The sequence below is a fragment of the Homo sapiens genome, chromosome 11 (assembly GCF_000001405.40).
Source record: "Homo sapiens chromosome 11, GRCh38.p14 Primary Assembly".
Classification (NCBI taxonomy): domain Eukaryota; kingdom Metazoa; phylum Chordata; class Mammalia; order Primates; family Hominidae; genus Homo; species Homo sapiens.
This window is the reverse complement of record NC_000011.10, coordinates 62264692-62280207: the sequence shown is the minus strand read 5'-3', so window position 1 is coordinate 62280207 and position 15516 is coordinate 62264692. Positions and strand designations below refer to the sequence as shown.

Sequence of the window (15516 nt, the reverse complement as noted above, 5' to 3'; positions counted from 1 at the left end):
AGTGAACAAAGGTCTCTGGTTTTCCTAGGCAGAGGACCCTGCGGCCTTCCGCAGTGTTTGTGTCCCTGATTACTTGAGATTAGGGATTGGTGATGACTCTTAACGAGCATGCTGCCTTCAAGCATCTGTTTAACAAAGCACATCTTGCACCGCCCTTAATCCATTTAACCCTGAGTGGACACAGCACATGTTTCAGAGAGCACAGGGTTGGGGGTAAGGTCACAGATCAACAGGATCCCAAGACAGAGGAATTTTTCTTAGTGCAGAACAAAATGAAAAGTCTCCCATGTCTACTTCTTTCTACACAGACACGGCAACCATCCGATTTCTCAATCTTTTCCCCGCCTTTCCCGCCTTTCTATTCCACAAGGCCGCCATTGTCATCCTGGCCCGTTCTCAATGAGCTGTTGGGCACACCTCCCAGACGGGGTGGTGGCTGGGCAGAGGCGCCCCTCACCTCCCGGACGGGGCGGCTGGCCGGGCGGGGGGGGCTGACCCCCCCCACCTCCCTCCTGGACGGGGCGGCTGGCCGGGCGGGGGGCTGACACCCCCACCTCCCTCCCGGACGGGGCGGCTGGCCGGGCAGAGGGGCTCCTCACTTCCCAGTAGGGGCGGCCGGGCAGAGGCGCCCCTCACCTCCCGGACGGGGCCACTGGCCGGGCAGGGGGGCTGACCCCCCCCACCTCCCTCCCGGACGGGGCGGCTGGCCGGGCGGGGGGCTGACCCCCCCACCTCCCTCCCGGACGAGGCGGCTGGCTGGGCGTGGGGCTGACACCCCCACCTCCCTCCCGGACAGGGCGGCTGGCCGGGCGGGGGGCTGACCCCCCCACCTCCCTCCCGGATGGGGCGGCTGGTCGGGCGGGGGGCCGACCCCCCCACCTCCCTCCCGGACGGGGCGGCTGGCCGGGCAGAGGGGCTCCTCACTTCCCAGTAGGGGCGGCCGGGCAGAGGCGCCCCTCACCTCCCAGACGGGGCGGCTGGCCGGGCGGAGGGCTGACCCCCCCACCTCCCTCCCGGACAGGGCGGCTGGCCGGGCGGGGGGCTGACCCCCCCACCTCCCTCCCGGACGGGGCGGCTGGCCAGGCGGGGGGCTGACCCCCCCACCTCCCTCCCGGACGGGGCGGCTGGCCGGGTGGGGGGGCTGACCCCCCCATCTCCCTCCCGGACGGGGTGGCTGGCCGGGCTGAGGGGCTCCTCACTTCCCAGTAGGGGCGGCCGGGCAGAGGCGCCCCTCACCTCCCGGACGGGGCGGCTGGCCGGGCGGGGGGCTGACCCCCCCACCTCCCTCCCGGATGGCACAGCTGGCCGGGCGGGGGGGCTGACCCCCCACCTCCCTCCCGGATGGGGCGGCTGGCCGGGTGGGGGGCTGACCCCCCCCCACCTCCCTCCCGGACGGGGTGGCTGCTGGGCGGAGATGCTCCTCACTTCCCAGATGGGGTGGCTGCCGGGCGGAGAGGCTCCTCACTTCTCAGACGGGGCAGCTGCCGGGCGGAGGGGCTCCTCACTTCTCAGACGGGGTGGTTGCCAGGCAGAGGGTCTCCTCACTTCTCAGACGGGGCGGCCGGGCAGAGACGCTCCTCACCTCCCAGACGGGGTCTCGGCCGGGCAGAGGCGCTCCTCACATCCCAGATGGGGCGGCGGGGCAGAGGCGCTCCCCACATCTCAGACGATGGGCGGCCGGGCAGAGACGCTCCTCACTTCCTAGATGTGATGGCGGCTGGGAAGAGGTGCTCCTCACTTCCTAGATGGGATGGCAGCCGGGCGGAGACGCTCCTCACTTTCCAGACTGGGCAGCCAGGCAGAGGGGCTCCTCACATCCCAGACGATGGGCGGCCAGGCAGAGACACTCCTCACTTCCCAGACGGGGTGGCGGCCGGGCAGAGGCTGCAATCTCGGCACTTTGGGAGGCCAAGGCAGGCGGCTGGGAGGTGTAGGTTGTAGTGAGCCGAGATCACGCCACTGCACTCCAGCATGGGCACCATTGAGCACTGAGTGAACGAGACTCCGTCTGCAATCCCGGCACCTCGGGAGGCCGAGGTTGGCGGATCACTCGCGGTTAGGGGCTGGAGACCGGCCCGGCCAACACAGCGAAACCCTGTCTCCACCAAAACCAGTCAGGCGTGGCGGCGCGTGCCTGCAATCGCAGGCACTCGGCAGACTGAGGCAGGAGAATCAGGCAGGGAGGATGCAGTGAGCCGAGATGGCAGCAGTACAGTCCAGCTTCGGCTCCGCATGAGAGGGAGACCGTGGGGAGAGGGAGAGCGAGAGGGAGACGGAGAGCGAGAGGGAGACGGAGACGGAGAGCGAGAGGGAGAGGGAGAGGGGGAGGGGGAGGGGGAGGGGGAGGGGGAGGGAGAGGGAGAGGGCTGAGGTGTGTTTTTAAAAGGATGTTAGCTTTTAATTAAGCTGACTTTTAACCACTGAGCTCCTTTAAAAATCTCTTTATAATTCTCATTACCATATTTCAACTAGGACAAATTGCAGCTATTTCAGAACTGCCAAGTATTAAGCCAGAAAAAAACTTGATTTAGGAACTAACCCAGGTTGTAAACTGCTTTTTGGGTTTTGAGAACTGTCTGTGTTGATTGCTTCAAAATTGGTAGGGCCTGGGGACATAGGGAACTAACCACACCCTTAATTAAGAAGGTAAACCTTGGCTGCACTTAGCACACAATTAAAGCAACTTACCAGATTTTACCTTAACAGTAACAATTTGTAGGAGTTACTATTATATCATGTAATTGAAACTACTGAAAATAGATTTTCATGCAAGGTGTTTAAAAACAGTAAAATGTGTTCTCTAGTAAAAGATTACAAGAAGGCGTGGAAATGTAAACTGTTGCCTAGGGTTAAAGAATAGTTTTTCTTTTTTTTGTTTCTTTTTTTTTTTGAGACGGAGTCTTGCTCTGTTGCCAGGCTGGAGTGCAGTGGTGCAATCTCAGCTTACTGCAATCTCCACCTTCTGAGTCCAAGCGATTCTCCTGCTTCAGCCTCCTGAGTACCTGGGATTACAGGTGTGCTTCACCACACCCAGCTAATTTTTGTATTTTTAGTAGAGATGGGGTTTCACCATGTTGACCAGGATGGTCTTGATCTCCTGACCTTGTGATCTGCTCGCCTTGGCCTCCCAAAGTGCTGGGATCACAGATGTGAGCCACTGCACCCAGCTGATAGTTTTAAATTAGATAGGAAAAATCTGAAGGTTCAAAGAAGTGGTGGAAGAATTGTGGAAATTAATTTTGCATAAGAGGTTCTCTATGTAAAAATATTGACTAAATTTAAAAAATGGGTTATTTTATGGTTTTTCTGTAAATTGAGCATTGAAATAAAAGCATAACAAGGTCTTCCTAAGACACTAATCTGCTCTTTGGCAAAATCTGTAAAGGGCAATAAAAGGTTTTTGCTTCTTTAAAATTTCTGAATCATGATTTTGGAAACATAAAAAACTTATAATAATCTGCAATTCTATTTTATAATATCAAGTGTTTTAAACCTCGAACATTTAACAGCCTTCCCAAAATCAAACTTCAGTTTCAAAATTGTCTTCCCTTGCACTTAGCTTTTTGAATACTTCAGAAGGCCCCTGAAGTGTCCAGAAAAGAGAGGCAAACAGGATTATTTGACATTCCTCTAGGAAGCAAAAGAGCATTGTCCCCAACCATCCCAGCAGGAGGCAGGAGTAGAGAAGGGTTTATCCACTGTCCCTGCTTGCCCATACCTCACAACCCAGGGCTGGACACAGACACTAACGACAATTTCAATAAGTATTTAATGACTCATTATCATTTAGCAGCAGGGAGTTTAATTTTCAGTGATTGGCGAATTTCTTGTCATTCGGCTCTTGATTTTTCATTGGACTCAATTATGGTCACAGAACAGGGTTTGTATGATCTGTATTTTCAAACTGCTAACACAGATGATGCAACTCCAGCCGCTTGGAGTCCTGGACCCGCACAACCTCACTCAGTGGTCTCTAGACACCACATCCAGCCCCTGACGTTGAGGTTGGGCCCTGGGCTGGTCTCTACGTAGGTGCCCGGCTCCTCCCACAGCTCTCCACACAGTCAGTGCTGAGACCAGAGCCATTGATGACTGGTGTCTCTGCCAGGTACCACTCCTGTCTTCAGTCTCCAGGCCTCTTCATTAAGCCCTGCCTCAGTGCCTCAGCATCCACCCTACAGGATGTTGAAAATTTTCATCCCATTGAGGAATTACCCAGGAGATAGTCCCTCAAATAATATCTTGTCAAATAATGTCCAGGAGTGATTTCCTCTGAACAGTGCTCTGAATGTTCAGTTTTTCCCTACATGGGAAAACACTGACAAGCCCCTACACTGTTGAAGCCAATCTGCTCCTCCTAGGCACCACCTCCGAAAAAGCTGAACTCATCGCCCTCACTTAAGCTCTCACTCTAGCAACCAGACAACAGATGAATATACATTCAAATTCTCATTATGTGTTCCACGTAGTGCTCACACTCATCCATCTGGAAAGAATGGGGTTTCCTAACTGCAAAAAGCACTCCTGTCATAAATGGCTCTCTCATCAGCAAGCTCCTTCAAGCTTCCAAGCTCCCACAGAAAGTTGCCATCATTCATTGCAGAGGCCACCAAACCCCAGACAATCCTATATCGGCTGGAAATGAGCCAGCAGATCAGGTAGCCAAAAAAGTAGCCCTACATCCCATGCAAGGCCAGTTTCTGTCCTTGTCCTTGTTCTCTTCTCTTTACTCCTCACAAGAAAAGGAGGACTTCCAAGCCCCAAACCTTCAAAAGCAATGACCATGGTATGTCAAGGAAGGGTGCTTCACTCTCCCTCACTCTCAAAGCCTTCCTCACCTCCAAACCTCCACAAATATTTCCATGTCAGTTACAAACCTCTCCTGCAACTTCTCTGCCCTATCCTCACTTCTCCTCACCTTTCCAGCTGTGTTCAAGAGATTACCCAGTCCTGCTGTATCTGCCTCTCAGTGTCACCCCAAGGTTCTTTCTGGCCACTGCCTTTTCCTACCCACCAAGCCTGAGGCCAGGTACCCGGGCAAGATTGGCCGGTAGACTTCACCCACAAGCCACCTGATAAATTGCTCCACTATCTTCTGGTTTTTGTCTGTACTTTCTCCAGGTAGGTAGGAGCATTCCCAATAACTTCAGAAGGTACAAATATCATCACGCAAATGCTCATCATGCATATAATTGCCCATTTTGGACTCCCAACATCCATCCAGTCTGATAACAGGCCCACTTTCATCAGCCAAATCACCCAAGGTGTCTCTACATCTTTAAAAATAAAGTAAGTTCTCCACACACCCTACAGGCCTCAATCTTCACGCAAAGTTGAAAAAATGAACTCTGTCCTTAAAGCCCAACTCACCAAGCTGCTTCTAGAAACCCCCCAGTCGTGGACAAAAAATCTCCCTTTTACCCTCATGAGACTCCACGCAACACCAAAAGCACCCTCTTTCTATAGTCCCTTTGAAATCATGTATGGCCAAACTTTTGTCTTGGGGCCTCCACCCTTACCAGACTCTGAGCCACTCAGGAATTATTCCCCTTCTTAATCCAGACATGGTCTTTCATTCGTGAAGCAGCAAATGAGGCCATGCCTCTCCCTGTTGACACCTCCTTGTCCTCTCAACATAACTGTTTTGCAGGCACAGACACCTTTCCAGACAATCCAGATGATGCTCCTGCTACAATGACATGGTGGATACCAACCTGTCTCTCAAGAATAGCCCCAAAATTAAGTTTTTCTTTTTCCAAGGTGCCCATGCCACCCCATGTCACACCTGAAGTGGTTATTGAGAAAGTCGTCCTTTTTCCATAACCAAATAGACAGCAATGTAAAATTCTCCCCAGGGCCTGAAAGCTTAAGGAGATGAGCTCCCCACTTCTCAGGCTCAGTCCCAAGGCACAAGGCTACTTGTGCTAGTGGGGTGCACCAGCAAGATAGCAGAAGCAGGAAGAGAGCCGGCCGGAAGACACATACCCCTGAAGACGGAGAAAGAGGCCATCCAGATATAACATAGCAGTTACATCAGACTAGGACACTTCCTGTTTACAGGAGACTATAAAACCTTTGCACCATCCTCACTTAAGGCTGATGCCACTTTAGGCCTCAGCCCTCCTGCTTCCAGGCGCTCATTAAAACAGCATGTTGCTCCACACTGCCTCGTGTTGTCTGTTGGTATGTTCTTGGGGTTCGAGCCGATACAAAAACCTTACAAGGGGATAGCCTCAGAAAGAAGAGGGACAGGCTGAGGTAGAAGCAGAACAGGTGGCAATAACTGCCCCTGGTGACAGGAATGCTGGGGACAGGACATGAAAGAGACTCCAGGTTCCATGTAAACATCCCCTGCTGTGCTGGGTCCCTGCACAGCACACTCACTCCCCTCAACCCTCATTGCCTTTGCAGCTCACTGCGGGACAGCGGAGGATGGACCCCAGTCCCACCACAGGCACAGGACTAGAGGACATTGAAAATCTTAATAGGGGTACTGTTAAACTCAGTAGTCATATTGCATAGGATTCAAATAATAACATAATATGGTTAAAAATAATATTTTCCTGTAGTAGTTTATAAATTAAACTGAAGCCAACATCCATGATGAGTAAAAATTACAAAATTTAAACCCAGTCAGGTGCCACCCTGCTTTGCAGGACTCCTCTCCCTGGCTGGCTCTGGCCCAGGCCCTGCACATCTCGGGGAGGCCCAGAGACAGCGCAGAGAAGCCTGACATGGCCAGCAGGGCTCAGCGTGGATGGGAGGACTGGAGTGAAAGCAGGTCCTCTGAGTGAAACCCTGCCTCACATCCCAGAGCCTGAGGACTCCAGAGAGAGTCGACGGGGGAGGTGGTGGGATGGGGACAGGGAAACACTCTTCAGAGAGAGTACCAAGGCTTAGAGGTCAGACTGAGGAAACAAATGCTTCACAGAGTCCTCAACCCATGACCATGAGTTCTTTAATAAGTAAGTGTGTGTGTGTGTGTATGTAAAATATGTGAGGCCCTCTAACGCCTCTTTTCTACGGTAGAACAAAGAGAAACTTCAGTTTTTGCCATCAATTTATTAAAATAAACATGTATAGCAGGTTTCAACAATTGTCTTGTAGTTTGTAGTAAAAAGACATAAGAAAGAGAAGGTGTGGTTTGCAGCAATCCGTAGTTGGTTTCTCACCATACCCTGCAGTTCTGTGAGCCAAAGGTCTTGCAGAAAGTTAAAATAAATCACAAAGACTGCTGTCATATATTAATTGCTAGAAAGCAAAAACAGAGACATCACTTAGATTTTCTGCACTCTCTAACAAAATAAAATCTTGAAAAACAGAAGCTTATCTTTTTCCACGGTTTGCCCACAACCATCTAGCATCCCAGACGGTTAGGGCTGGAAGTAGAAGAGCTGTTGTTTCTGGATCATTTCCCCCACCATGGACTTTTTAAATATTTTTTCTGTGTGTTTGTGGTTCTTTGAAATAATGTATTCAACAAATACGTGACTATATTACCTATTTTCACAGGATTGTTAAAATCTTAGCTCAAATGCAAAAAAAAAAAAAAAAAAAAAAGTGAAACTTTGAGCTCTCGTCTAACCCTCCATTGTGGAAATATTCCCAGCATCCCAGCAGTCCGACGCCCTCTGCCACCACCATTGTGCTCTACTAATTATTGGAGCTGCAGACTATGATCTGTCTGAGGAAGCTTTTAAAGAAACAAATCCATCACCCTTCCCTGCAGTTGATAATTAGTTTTTAACAAATTATTAATAGTGGTAAAATGTACATCTCATAAAATTTGCCATTTTAAGGGGACAGTTCGGAGTGTTCTGTATATTCGTGTGGTTGTGCAACCTAACTCCAGAATATTACTGTTTTGCACAACTGAAACTCCAGACCCATTAAATATGACTCCCCCTTCTTCTCTGCACCCAAGCCCTGACAACCACTGTTTTTTTTTTTTTCACTGTCTCTGAGTCTGGCTCCCCAGATTCCCATATGCATGGGTCATGCAGCATTTGTGTTTTTGTGACTCTTTGCTTCACTCTTCACTCGCTATAATATCCTCAAGGTTCATCCATGTTGTAGAAAGCGTCAGGGTTTCCTGAGGTGATGTTCACTTTCATCCTAATGGAGGGGTTTGGTATATTTCTAACTTTTTTTTTTTTTTTTTTTTTACCAGGGAAGGATTAAAGAAGAATTTAACATAGGGAATAAATGCTAAAGAAAACCCTCAACAATATACATGTATAGTTAGAAAGAAATACAAAACTATTGGTTTTTGTTTGAGGCAATTCTTCCTCCATGGTGGTTTCATACCCATGATCTACAGTTGCCTATTGGATAGTCCAAGGTTTCTCATCATTTATGCTAGCAAATTATGATTGCCTGGAAGTGCATTTTAAATTCTTTTTATTTGAGATGTATAGAATCTTGCTCAAATGGTATTTTCCAAACTGTTGAAAAATAGGGCATTTTTTAAGAAAGAACACTTTTACTTTTTTTTGAAGAAGAGAAGTTTTCTCTGCAGATTGGTCTATAGGTGCGGGTCTTCTGGAAAATTGTTTTTTCTGTAGAGAGTGAACATATGTTTGTATGTGTGTGTCTGAGTGTGTTTGTGTGTGTCTCTGTGTTTCTGTGGTTGTGTGGTTCTGTCTGTGTGTTTGTGTTTGTGTCTGGATGATTGTGTGCTGGTGTGATTGTGTCTGTGTCTGTGTCTGTGTCTTTGCCTGTCTGTCTATGTTTGTGTATGTCTGAATGTGTGTGTGTTTGTGTGATTGTGACTGTGTCTGTGTGTTTGCATGTGTCTGGATGTGTGTATGTGTGTTTCTGTGTTTGTGTGATTGTGTCTGTGTTTGTGAGCATGAATTAGAGAGCTCTGGGGATAGGTAAGACTTCTACCGACCTTTCCTTTTCCTCTCTTGCCCTATTCATTTATCATCCACTGAGGATTCTCTGGGTAGAGTGACAACACAGGGACACTGGATGTTTTTCTTGATGGCAAAGTCATTAGACTAACCATTCAACTAAATTAACCAATGTAAGAAAAGGCTTGTTCACTAGTGGCTTTGGCATTGTCAGTGAGAAATGAAGAGCCCACTTGTCCCTGGTCAGGGGATTTAAAAAGCTTATAGGAAGAAAATGAAATTACCATAAACACCTCAACATTGCTCAGAGTTTCATCCGTTTGGTTAAGAAAACATTCCTTCAATTCATCTATGGCATTTGTAGTGGCATTGTCGTCTATGAACTCTTGAAGAAGTTCTTTGTATTCAGTCTTAGACACTTGTGGATTGATTGTCTTGGAAATCACATTCTCCAATAAGGGGCAGCCAGAGCCTGGGAAGGATGCACAAGGAAACAAGCTTGGTACAGAAGGCATGAAAGGCTTGGGGCAGACCTATTACATTCCTCATCTTCTTACAGCCCAAGAGAATATAGACTCAAAGATAATGATGCAGAATCTAGAGTTCTCAAATCTGGGAGAAAACCTCAGGCTCTGGGATTTCCTGTAAGCCCTGCAACTTCTTTCTCTCCACTCCCCAGCCCAGAAAAGCTAAACCTCATGAAACTTCATTTAATGAGAAGACTTGAGAAATGAAACACTCGGACTTGGAAGTATATCGTGAAGATTATTTGGTCTTCTTTGGTTCAAAATCATACGATGCTTCACTATTACCATTCAGAGCATCACAGAAGATTTCCAAGTATCTTAGGCCAAGTGTGGTGGCTCACACCTATAATCCCAGCACTTTGGGAGGCCGAGGTGGACAGACTGCCTGAGCTCAGGAGTTCAAGACCAGCCTGGGCAACATGGTGAGATCTGTTATACCTACAGCCTTTGTACTGGGGCTGATCTCTGCTGAGAATTGGGGAGCAGGAGTTCTTCCATAGAGGCCCAAGTGACAACCCCTAACCCCGAGGCAGCCCTCCCTGCACAGAACTCACCTGCGTAGCAGTGCTGGGAGAGGGCCGCCAGCATGAGGACCATCAGCAACTTCATGGTGAGGCTGCTGCTGTCGGTGTTCAGTCGCGGGTGGCAAGGATCAAGGAAGCCGCTGTGGAGGTGAGCACCCAGCCTTGCTCTATTTATTCCCCAGGTAGGCATCTTAATTCCACCCATGAACGAGGCAATGAGTCAACCTGGCATGGGACCAGTAAACAGGAGCATGCCCCAGGGGAAACACAGCCAGCCTGTATGTAGAATCTTCCTGCTTCTCTTCCTCTTTCTTGTATTCCTTCTCCACTTGCTCCCCTTCCTTTTCTTCTCTGTCTCTTTCTTTAAGGTGAGAATGAAAGCATCATGTCCCGTGTATCTGTGCCAGCTTATCCCAGCAGTGGGCCTAGGTGCAATACCTCACACCTACTCTTGGGAGCAGGCTTTTCTCATCCACTGACATCTCATTTTCAGAAAGGGATGTCTGGGAAAGTTTTACCTTTTGTGGGGAAATTTAAGGCCATCCACCCTCCGCTGAAAGTTATTTTTACAAGGATTATCTCGGTTAATTATAAATTAATTGATAACTTTGTTTAGTTCTTTGGTAACTTTTTAGGGTTTTCTTTCCACTGATTCAAAGGATGCTGTGAATTAGTAGCGTAACTGATGGGCTGGACAGGCAGTGCTGGGTGGTGGGTGGTGATGGAATTTGGAATCAGGGATGAGGGTTTGGACCCTGGATGCAACTTGCAGTCCTGCCATGTCCTTGCTGGTCTCTCTGAGCATCCTTCCTTTTCATCACTTGAAGAAAATAAAAGGCGGAATGGGATAGCATGCAGAATTTGTATAAGGATGCTTCATGTAAAGATTGTTTCATGGCCGGTCGCAATGGCTCATGCCTGTAATCCCAGCACTTTGGGAGGCTGAGGTGGGTGAATCACCTGAGGTCAGGAGTTTGAGACCAGCTTGACCAACATGGAGAAACCCCTTCTCTACTAAAAATACAAAATTAGCTGGGCATGGTGGTACGTGCCTGTAGTCCAAGCTACTCAGGAGGCTGAGGCAGGAGAATTGCTTGAACCCAGGAGGTGGAGGTTGCAGTGGGCCGAGATCACACCATTGCACTCCAGCCTGGGCAACAAGAGTGAAACTCTGTCTCAAAAAAAAAATTGTTTCACACAGCCCAGTACAAAGTAGTCATGTATAAAGACAAGATTTCATCCATGCATGCAGCCATCCATCTTTAAATAACTACTGAGCATCCCCTATGAGCTGGCAGTGAGCTGCACACCATAAATTCAGTTATAGGCACAATTTAGACCAAGCCCTTGCTCTCATGGAGCTGACTTTCCAATAAGGGAGGTAACAAGCATCCTGCCACATAAGAGAGATATGAGAAAGTAGTAATCACTGCAAAGAACTCAAAATATCCACAACAGCAAAATGATGTCATGGACTGACTACTGAGAGGAGGAGGCCATGCCATTTCAGCTGACATTTGGATGAGTGGACGACACTGTCTAGTGACAGATCCAGGGAAGATGCAGTTCCATGCAGAGGGAATGACAAGATCAGAGACCAGAGGGCAGATGGCACTTGGCCAGGTAAGGAAGGCAAGGAACATGGCCACATGGGATCAGGAGGACAGGACAGCCTCATGTGACAGAAAACCCACCCTCGTTTAATTAGGGGCATGGTGAAGGTCATGGGAACAAGAAATACAAAGCTGGCTTGGGTTTTTTATAAAAGAGGCCGGGCGTGATGGCTCATGCCTGTAATCCCAGCACTTTGGGAGGCCAAGGTAGGCAGATCATGAAGTCAGGAGATTGAGACCATGCTTGCTAACATGATGAAACCCCATCTCGATTCAAAATACAAAAAATTAGATGGGCGTGGTGGTGCATGCCTGTAGTCCCAGGTACTCGGGAGGCTGAGGCAAGAGAACCACTTGAACCTCGCAGGCGAAGGTTGCAGTGAGCCAAGATCACGCCACTGCACTCCAGTCTGGGTGACAGAGTGAGACCCCATCTCAAAAGAAAAAAAGAAGATACGGATGAGAGAGCCAAAGAGATGAGTCGGTTCTTCACTTCCCGTGGATGCATTATTTGCTGTCCGGATTACCCATGACGTCTTTCTTTCCATCATTCAGCTGGAGCCTCAGATATTTTCCAGTTGAGAACAAAATTGATTTAGGAAGAGGCTAGAAAAGAAGGTTTCTGTACTTATAGGTGTACTTTCACCCAGCTGGCCATGGCAGGCATCCTTCTTCCATAAATGAAGTGAAAAACTTTGATCATGAAACGGAGACTGTCTCCTTGGCCAAGACCTAATGGGTCTCTGCCTGGTGCCCCAGTCCTTATGGACCTGCCCTCTTTCCCACAGGGACAAACACTCACGCAGAGTTATCTTACCCATCTAAAATGAACTCCCCACACCACCTACATGGTGCCCCACTAAAGAGATGGTGTTTTCTTTCACTCACATATTGTATCCAGATCTGACAGTGATCATTCTCTGGTGAGTCATAAGACATACCTGGCCCAAGAAAGGCTCATTTGCAAGCCAGTATTTGCAGGGAGAGAGAGGAGAATCAGAAGTTTAAAACACGGTACTGCTGGTCCAATTTTTTCTCTTCCCAAAAGGGAAGAATTGTTTTTTCTTTTTCTTTTGAGACAGAGTCTCGCCCTGTCACCCAGGCTGGAGTGCAGTGGCTTGATCTCGGCTCACTGCAACCTCCCCCTCCCAGGTTCTCCTGTCTCAGCCTCCCAAGTAGCTGGGACTACAGGTGCCTACCACCATGCCTGGCTAATTTTTGTATTTTTGGTATAGATGGGGTTTCACCTTATTGGTCAGGCTGGTCTCAAACTCCTGACCTCAGGTGATCTACCCACCTCAGCCTCCCAAAGTGCTGGGTTTATAGGCATGAGCCACAGCACCTGGCCGGGACTTTTATTCAGGTCCCTAATTCAGTTCAGAAACTGGAAGCCAAGTGTCCTTCAGTCTTCAGTGTTTCTGTGACAAGTGTTTACTGAGCCTCTACTATGACAAAGCAATAAGTCATTCACACATTCTCTCTAAAATGTGCTTGTGTTTTGTGAGGGGAAAAAAGTGTGCCTTAAAAAAAAAGGCAGACATCTACCCTGGCCTTGGGCTCACAAAAGAGCTGAGATGTAGGGACATGAGGGATTTGGGTAAAGGAAAGGCATTGCCATACTTCATATTAAATAGCAATGTTGTTTGAAAGTCATCTTTTCTCAGTGATTTCTGTATTTGTACCGAAAAGCCTGGAATGGCCGGCCCTGGAAGCTGCATCTCTGCTGAATTCTGCAGCCCTTTTCCTTCATAGGCCCATGGCTGATGGCTCCTGAGTGAGGACCCCAAGCCAGACCGACTGCCTGTGTTCACATCCCAGCTCCTCTGTTTGCTGACAGTGCCACGGTGGACAGGAGACTTAACGATTTGTGTCCGCTTCAAAATGGAAACAGTCATAGAATGGTTGTGACTCATAAGTAAAGTAAAAATGGTAAGGTACTGGGAACAGTGCCTGGTGCAGAGTCAGTGCTGTCTAAATGTCAGTTGCTCATCATCTTTTCCTATTGTTAAGAGTTGTATTTATGATTCAACTCCTAGGACTACTAAGCTCATCATAGAACACTGGAAAATTAGTCTGCCCTTAATATTCTCAAAAATATATCACAATAACCATAGTTAGACAAAGCAAAAACATTTAACTTGGAAAATAAAGCACTGCATTGTGATCCAGGCTTTGGTATCTTTTCTCTCAGTCCATTTTAAAGAATTTTGCTGAGCTCTAATTGACATATAAATTCTCTCCTAAACAGACCCTACATACTGTCGTCCGATGAATCTTCCCAGAACTCAGCTCCAAATGTGCTTCCACTTGCTTTTTAATGTTCAGTAGAGCAGGAATCATAATTATGTAGCAGTTTGCTGTTTGAAAGGCACTGTTGAACCCTGTGACAACATTCCTAGCAGCAACCTTAGCAGAAGGGTGACCGTATTATTTGTTAGCCAAACTCCAACATTTTGGTGGCTGAAAAGAAACATAAAATCAATGGGATGCCAGGACAATAACATAACCCAGGACTGCTGTGGGCAAATTAGCATGAGTAGTCACTTCCCTATGATGTGGGCATGTCATTTCACCCCACCTAACAGAAATGTGACACAGAGATGTTAAGGCACTCACCTGAAAGAACACAGCTAGGAAGGGGCAGAAGCGGGATAAAAAGCCAGATGTTCTGGCTCCACAGGCTGCTCTCAACACTATTTCCCTCCTTGGCTGAACACTGAGGGACCTGCACATCATGGTTCAGATGAGTCCTGGTGTCCATGACTCCCACTGCTGCCCTATGAGAACTCTGGGTTGATTTCTGCACAAGCCCTGGAGAAGAGTTTTCTGCTTGAGACCTTTGCTCCAAGTGGATTCCCCTCCTCCTCTGCCCTTGCCTCAGCTGCTCTGGGTTGAAACACTTCATTCCAAAAGCCACATCAAAGATGGCTAATGCCTTGTGTTCTTTGCTGGCCCTGCATCTCTGGGGACCTCCCTGTTCACAGGACCCTGTATCTGTCCATAGGCAGTTCCATCTGACATCTCCAGGACCCTCACCCTGACCCTTCCTCCCTGTCCCTGCTCATTGAGCTCATGGCTTGGGCACTTCTTGTTTGTATTATAGTGATGAAAACTACTTATTTTCCTTAATTTACTATTGTGTAACTCATTTTCAAGAGCAGATTTTGATATTTTACACAAAGAGTGTATTGACTGTATTTTATGTTTTATTACTAGATCTATTCAGGAAAAGGAACTCATTTAAAATTAAAGTTTTACGAAACACAGACATCAGACGTAACACTTAAATCAGACACCACTGTGTCTTCCTGGACATGGTAAATACAACACCATTTGTACTTTCCTGGAGGGAAACTGGGGGTCAGGTAGGAAGAAGGTAGTGAAGAAAGAAGATGGCTGGAAACCCTGCTAATGAGAGCCTGGGCCACCTCAGTGTCCTTTTGCCCTAGAAGTGACTGTTAGTGTGACACCATCTGACCAGGATGTATCTAATGAGTTGGAACCTGGAACCGGATTTGAAAGCAGAGACAAGGTCAATGTCAGCCCCTGGCTAATTCTTTCCCGTACCAAAACCCAGAAATTATACAACTCGCCACGTCCCCACATTGTGTGTGGTTAAAAATGTTAATGCGCATATGCGAGAGGAAGTTTACCTTGGCTCATCAGATACCTTCACTAGTACCTTTGCCAGTGAGTTAGTAATTTTCCCCTCCCTTCAATGCCAACATTATCCCAAAAACAGTAGTCAGCCCACTGTCATGAGCCTCTGTTACGCCAGGGCCTCAGGAGAGGCATATGGAGGAACTTATACAAAGTATCCCTGCTGCTGGAGCAATGGGTCTCAGTGGGGACACTTTTTCACTTTCCCCACCCTGAAGAACCTTTCCCAATAGTGGGTTTTGCTTGTCCCAACTGGATGGGGGTGAGTGTCCTATTGAGGTCAAGTGACAGAGGCCAGGAATTAAACATCAACTGAAACCTTCTTAACATCTAACAA

At 48.1% G+C, this 15516-nt stretch overlaps 1 protein-coding gene across 2 annotated transcripts; it reads right to left on the bottom strand.

Moving 5' to 3' along the window:
• Window positions 1-7047: 7047 nt before the first annotated feature.
• Window positions 7048-10050, bottom strand: SCGB2A2 (secretoglobin family 2A member 2). Of its 2 annotated transcripts, NM_002411.4 has the most exons (3): window positions 9937-10050; window positions 9140-9327; window positions 7048-7251 (listed from the first exon to the last, which is right to left on the bottom strand). In NM_002411.4, the coding sequence occupies exons 1-3, from the start codon at window positions 9989-9991 to the stop codon at window positions 7213-7215; spliced, it is 282 nt and encodes a 93-aa protein (NP_002402.1). In that variant the 5' UTR covers window positions 9992-10050; the 3' UTR covers window positions 7048-7212. The 2 variants fall into 2 exon arrangements, with proteins under 2 accessions (NP_002402.1, XP_005274062.3); XM_005274005.4 differs by lacking the exon at window positions 7048-7251 and having other exon boundaries at window positions 9005-9327.
• Window positions 10051-15516: the final 5466 nt, after the last annotated feature.